We start from the raw sequence: 7,212 nt of genomic DNA on the forward strand, positions 1-7,212 counted from the left end.
TCCGTCTTTTTGTTGCTGTCATGGGACTGTGACATTCATAAGTGTTTTCTAGCTTCACCTACCCCCTGCGGGGAAACAGAAAAGCTAGCTAGGGCTGGAGTTAGAGAAATGTCCTTTCCCCAGATGGGATAAAGCTCTGGTAAAGTCTCCTGCAAAGTAGGCCTTGTTTATTAGAGAATGCTCTGGGCACATTTCACAATGACTACTCTTCCCCTTCTTTTGATAGAGCCAAGAGGAGAATCTTTTGTGGCTCTTCACTATATGAAAACAGTAGGGTTCCTAAAGGTAAATCTATAGAAGTATGTTCTCCACTCTCAGACTGCAGGTCTAGATATTTCTCACTCTCAAGTTCATTCACTCTCAGCTTTTAGGAAATGAGCAAAATTGCAATTTGAATGTTACCACCAGTGGTGACTTCAATGGCTTCTGCTCCAGGTAAGCAGACCCTGGCTGTGACTCTGTATTAACCTATCTCTGCAGATTTTGGAGTGGCAGTTTGCCCTGCAAATTCAGTACTCATAGATCCAAGAAGAACCATTGATTTTCAGTTTGTTTAGCTTTTTCTTGTTGTAAGCATGGGAGTGACCACTTCCAAGCTTTTTACGTTTCAGAGATGAAGCTAGAACTGATTTATTTTTAGTAATGGATAAATTAAGTTGTCCATACTGATCTAATTTACTGAATCTGCTCAGCTAGATTAATATAATTCTTCATTCTTCTTCAAAATCTAAGCATTTTTAGAACATTAAAATCAAAGAGAGGATAAATTATCTTCTAACTTTCTAATTCAGTTTCAAGATGTGTAAAATAGGAGTGTGTCTTGCTTTGCCCTTTTAAGTACAGTCATGCTCCTCATACTGATGCGGAGGCCAATGACACTGTAGCTTTTCTATTTTTGGTATACAAATTATTTCCACTGTGCTACAATTGCCTAAAGTATCAGTAAAGTAACATACTGCGCAGATTTGTAGCCTCAGAGCAATAGGCAATACCATATAGTATGGATGGGTAGTAGGTATAACATCTAGGTTTGTGTAAGTACACTCTGATGTTTGCACAATAACAAAATTGTCAAAGAAGCATTTCTCAGAACATTTTCCTATTGTTAAGTGACACATGACTGTATTTTAAAATAACTCAATGAATTTTATATAATACGAATAGATGACCTATAACACTTGCAAAGGAAAATAATTTTAAAAAAACTTGATTTATCAAATGTGCTCAATAAGAAAAAATCTCTGCATTTATTTCATTTTTGTAGCCAAGAGCAAGTTAACAGTATTTTAAATTTCTTCCAGATTCTCCTGAATGTCAAAAGGAGTGCAAATAATAGCTTATAGCAAGTCTGTAAGTCCTCTCTTTCTGTTCATCGATTTCTTATTCATCTGCAATTCTTAAATCTATCTCACCTTTGCTTTAACTTAAATAAGACTCTCTTAAGCAAATCATACAGTATCAGGTTCTGGCCTTTATTCCTCTTCCAATTCCTTCTTTTGCTTTACAACTCACTTATACCTTAGTCCTGTCTAGTACTTTTAATTTTCCAATAAAAATACTTTTACTTTCTTATTTCTATTTGCTTCAGTTCTTAGGGTAACAGGAAACAGGCTGAAGATTCACACGTTATATATTTTGATCTCCAGTGCACATTTATAGAGATTTTTCCCCAGAAACCATTGCTTCATTTACCAAATCATTACATTCTGTAAGGAGGTCAATTATCTTCCTTAAATAACAGCAACACAATTTTAAAACTATGAATCAGCAAATAATATTACAGTGATAATATCAGAAGTTCCATAATATAATAAATTCACACTTCAAATTGACCATACTAATTTATACCATGGTAAGTCAAATCACCTAGTTAACTGGGATACATTTCAAAGACCTCAGCCTATCAGGCCTTCAAAAGGAATGTAGCTCAACTAAGACCATCACAGAAAACGATGTGTTCTTAGAGTCAAATAAGAAAACAGGAAAATATTTCTTGCGTTTTTAAATATAACATTGACAATGAATGTGTTCTTTGTTTATCTTATACCTTTTACTCTGGCTTCCTAGACCTTTATCATCTGATGTTCCCAACTATAGGCTCAGACACTCCCAATTTCTTCTATATTCCCTGACAAAAGTAAAATATTTTACAATTGCCTCAGACTTGTTGGAATCCACCTGCCTCTGTCACAATTTCTATAATGTCTCCACTCTAATTCCTTTCAGAATTCAGTGAGCCCTAAAGGTGCCCCTCCAATAGACTTTGAATGCATTCTACACTTGTCCAACTCCCAGGATTGAGTTTCTGCTTACCCTTTCTTCCCATTGTACCACTGATTACATTACTACCCCATTTTCTACAGGCCTGGACTCTTTTCCTGATATACCACCAGTGTTTGAATCCTTAGTGCCCTGCTTGACTTTGGCCAGTTACTTTTTCTGGAAATAGAAATGCTGGATTTCTGTCTATTTACTCTGACCCATCAATGGATGAACCCAAGTTCCTGAAATTCCATCATCCTTTCAACTATGACCCAAATTATGTCCACATTGCTCTTTTTGTGGCACTCACTGGCCTCAGGCAAAGTTCTTTTAGTGTCAGAGATAAATCTGGATCACGTTCATAAGTATAATTTGATTCTACCCCAACTGCAAAACAAAAACAAAAGCAAAAACAAAACAAACACCCTGTAATCACTTTCATTGCCTTCTTTATTTTCTTTATAAACATTCAGCTTTGTTTTCAGTTTCTCCTCTCCAAAGCATATGGATTATCTTCAAACATTATGGTCAATAATTTGCACTTCCTATTTTCATCACCTAGTTTGACCTTGCACAGCTCGTTATTAGGACTCTGTTAAAACTTCAGTTTAGAGAATTAATATCTAAAAGCTTATTATGTTTAGAGCATTCTATCATTTAATCTGTCTAGGTGTTCTAAATTCTATTTCTCAAGCAAGTTATATGACCTGAAAGCTATGTACCTGGAAGTCATTAGTTCTCCTTGCAACATAAAACACCTTCTATAATATGCATTTTAGTGTTATGTTCTCAGGTTTTATTGAAAGTCCATATAGATACTAACCATAAAAACAGTGTTTTGTATATGCTTTAAAGCATTCCTAAGATTCATTTCAACTAACAATTACTGGATGGCTAACAAAAACCGGATACCACTTAAGGCACCAGTGATACAAAATAGATAAATAAGTCTATTTCTCTACCTTCAATGTATTTATAGCCAAAGAATTGGAAAAGGATTGTATATAAACTAATAGGCATGTTTCATAATTTCCATTTAATAATGTTTTATATGATAAATCATTTTATTAAATTAATAATTTACCATTAAATACATGTTTTAAATTAGAAAATATGTTTTCTCTCATTAAATAATAGACATATACACTTTCTACCATAGATTAGCTATTAGAAGGATAGAATTTTATTGTAAACCCATACTAAGAAATTTATTAGCTTCAGTAATAGGAAGGTTTGAGTTCCTCTTCATATTCATTTTCTCATATTGTATGTATAGCCTTATTGTATGTATGGTAAAATACAGTATTTCTTAATCATTACAAGCAAAAATAAGTGCATTTCTAAAATACATATTCACAACTTTAATATCACTTTATATAGTCTGTTATAATAGAATGTTGATAACTCATCTTATTAATAGTATACCTAAAAATTAATCAAACTCATCATTTGATATTAGTCCACAATGGTACTTTTCAATTTAGCCGCTTTTTTTTTTTCATGTAGGAAATGTTTAGGTAAATATACTTTGTAAACTAACTGCATAATAAAGTGCCCCAGGTTTGTCATCATAGATTCAGATTCATATTTAATTATAGTCACTATATTTTTTAAAAATTCACATAGTCAACCAGTATCCAGGAAATAAAAACATACTGAAACAAACTTTGGAAAATTCTTGACTCACGAAAATTTTAACTATGTCAATTAGCTATTTGATAATAACTATTATCAAAGATGTATGCTTCTGTTCAGTCATTCCTTAAATAAGCATTATGTTGATATCCTAAAGCTATTTTATAATCATTGAAGTATAAGTAAAGTGCTCATAATATTGAAAAAAATGAGCAAAAATTTTACTTTTCATCCCGATACTCAAACTTATTTGATGTATAAAAAATTAAAAATTTGTCCCTATAGACTTTCTGAATGGTAGAAAAAAAGAGGTTAAGAAGCAATTTATAGCTAACTCTCTTGAGGAGAGTATAATGAAGAACCAAGGAATATTTAAAATTTGGGATATATTTAATAATGTATTCCTTTTGCATTTTAACGTACTTAAATAATACAAGAGTATTTTGCTTATTTTATGCTAAAAATGCAAATGCTATTTATTACTCTTAAGAGAGAAAATTGTGTAAGCTTTAAAAGATGGGGATTAATTATTGCATTTATTCATTTCATTATAGGATTTATTTACTTACTTGTTATAATTAATTCTTTAGAGATCACTGAGCTTTAGGAGAGAAAGTATTATATTATAATATATGGTAAGATTATATGGTAATTCTAAAGCCTAGGAATTGACCTAGCTTATCAACTACAAAAACTAAAGTATTGTCTATTTATCCACTGGAAATATATATTTCCAAGAATAGTTATGTTATATAAATATATTAACTGACATGGAAAGAGTCACAATATGTGGTTACATGATAAAAAGCAGACTACAAAGCATGTATACGAGATTTTTTTATTTGCACAAAAAGTATATATGAATAAATCTAGAGCAGTGATATACGCAGAAATACATTCATAGAGTCACGTACCATGCTAGTTTAAATGTAATCCTAATCACTGACTCAGACTTGCTGAATAATTATTTTAGGGCTGGAGTTTAGCAAATTTTATCCTAACTAGCTTTTCTATATTTCATACTCACTATACTTTCACAACTACTAGTCTAGGAATGAAGGTCATAAACATGAAAAAAGTATGTAACTTTTTATTTCTAATTAAATAGATGTGTAAGAGTAACAACGTTGAATTCCTGCATATTTATGCCAAATTTAGCTATTTTTCCTTCCTGATTCTTCAATACCTAGGAAGCCAGAGATGATGTACCAATATATTTTAAAAGTAAAAAGTGGGTTGAAGAAAAGTTGTAAAATACATACAAGTACGTTGACCTGTAAGTGAAGCTAATCTAACAAACATGTCAAATCAGTCTTCTTTTTAACTCTACAATATTTGTGTATAGGCTATATTTCTGCCACTCATCTCTCTTTCTCTCTCTGTCTCTCTCTCTCACACACATACACACACAATTATTTTCACTTCCTTACTTTATGTCATTATATCAATTTTCCATGGAGAGAGAGGCTGATAGCTTTACAATAGCTTCCCTTGCACATGAAGTCAGGAAATTAAGTGAAGGTTTTTAATTGCAAAAAACTATCAGATCTCTTATATTACAACTTAGCCATTTTCCCTAACAACAAGTATTAATGACCTCTTTGCTTAATGAAAATTAATTGCTATTCCGCCTTAACAATTACATTGTGATTGATCAAATTTATAAAACCTGCAAGGGTCATTTGCTTTAATTCTACTTCAATCCATTAAATCTCCAGCAGATGATAACCTTTAACTTATTCACATATTAGGAAATTTTAATGGCAGTTCTAGGTGTCACTATTTATATAAAAAGTTATACATCAAATTGCCTCCTTTTCTTAGCTCAATTAAAGTGGTTTGTCTCTACTGATGTAAGACATTTCCAATCCACCAGAGTGACTTCAGAGCTAAAACATTTACATTACATTTTTTTATTCACATTACCAACAATAACTAAGAAAAATTAATGTTGGTTTGCTGTCAAGCTAGTAGCAAATAAAAAATGATAGTTTAATATGATAAACTTTTTCCATAAAAAAACATATTATGTATCTTTTAAAAATATATTATTTACTTCAAATAACAAGAAGAGAAGATATGAGTTTATACCTATCAGAAAGGCAAAAATGCAAAAAGATGGATAATACTATTAGATAGAGTGTGAAGAGATGGGGGTCAATTGTGTTTTGTATGTGGCAGTCTAGACACTACTGCCAATCTAGAAAGTCCTCTATTTCCAGCAGCTCTAGGGTATGAACTATATATGCTCTATTTCCAGCAGCACTATATATGAACCAATGATCTTACTCCTGAATACATATCCCAGAGAAGTATTACAAAGTCCATACAAAGTGAGGGGTACCAAAAAATGGATGCTGAGCCACTGTTTGTGTCAGCATGAAGTTTGGGGGCAATTTGTGCTCATCATTAGGAGAATGGATAAGTAAATGATTAAAGAAAAAGAATAAAATATGAGACTTTAGACTGTGAAATATGAAGACTATTTACAATACTATATAAGAAAAATGTTATTTATTAATTCACTTATTGTAATGCATATTATCACTTTTTTATTGACCTTATGTTTGAGTCAACTCAGTTTCACATTAAACTGAGGAATCCTACCAAAAGGTTGATTTTTCCCTTTTGTGTTGTTTTACTCACTTTGAGACTTCTTATGTCTTACATACTTCCTGTGCTTGCTCATGTGAAAGAATTTGCTGATTTTTTTCTCTTTCATTTGGTGTATATTCTCTTTCTTCTATCCATCCAGGAGGTCAAGATTAAGGCCAACACTCTCCATAACTTCCCTGATTCTATCCCTAAAGACATTTCTTTTCTTTGAACTTCTATAGCACTACTAACCTACATTACATCTAATATTACTCTTATTACAACAGCTTTATGTCATTAATTTGTTAGTTCTCTACAAGATTTCTGATGACTGAGACCAGATCTCATGTTGTCCATGCCCCTTACTTTTCTTGGCATATGGCTGAACACATTATGAATATTTAAGAAATGCCTCTTCACTCACGACCAAATATATTTGAGCCAGGCACTGTTCTATTTGCTACAGATATTTCAGTTAGTAGAATAAAAATGTATTCCCTCTTAAGCTTGTATTTCAGAGGCAAGGAGAGATGAAACAGGACTGGCAAAGTGTTCCATCAGATATTCTTTAATAGCTATAAAGACCCCCACTGGAAATTGTAATCTATGCCTATGCAGGGAAGTGATGGAGAGGAAAAATACAAAGTACTAAAGGAAGTTTTAGCTTTGGAATCTGTGTCAAGATATGGCAAATAAATTAAGGAAACGGCATGGACTTCT

The 7,212-nt window shown here is 32.1% G+C and overlaps 2 annotated features.

Moving 5' to 3' along the window:
- Positions 1,493-1,662: an enhancer, noted in NCBI's record as "experimental_100640 CRE fragment used in MPRA reporter constructs". NCBI's record gives its function as "activates a minimal promoter by MPRAs in K562 erythroleukemia cells, with activity observed for both the introgressed and non-introgressed 7:84398854 or rs77315113 variant alleles {active_cell/tissue: K562}" and the evidence as "EXISTENCE:reporter gene assay evidence [ECO:0000049][PMID:34662402]".
- Position 1,578: a transcriptional cis regulatory region, noted in NCBI's record as "Neanderthal adaptively introgressed variant 7:84398854 (GRCh37/hg19 assembly coordinates) or rs77315113 in the experimental_100640 CRE". NCBI's record gives its function as "modulates activity of the experimental_100640 enhancer by MPRAs in K562 erythroleukemia cells {active_cell/tissue: K562}" and the evidence as "EXISTENCE:reporter gene assay evidence [ECO:0000049][PMID:34662402]".

Source organism: Homo sapiens, chromosome 7 (assembly GCF_000001405.40).
Source record: "Homo sapiens chromosome 7, GRCh38.p14 Primary Assembly".
In the NCBI taxonomy this organism is placed as follows: domain Eukaryota; kingdom Metazoa; phylum Chordata; class Mammalia; order Primates; family Hominidae; genus Homo; species Homo sapiens.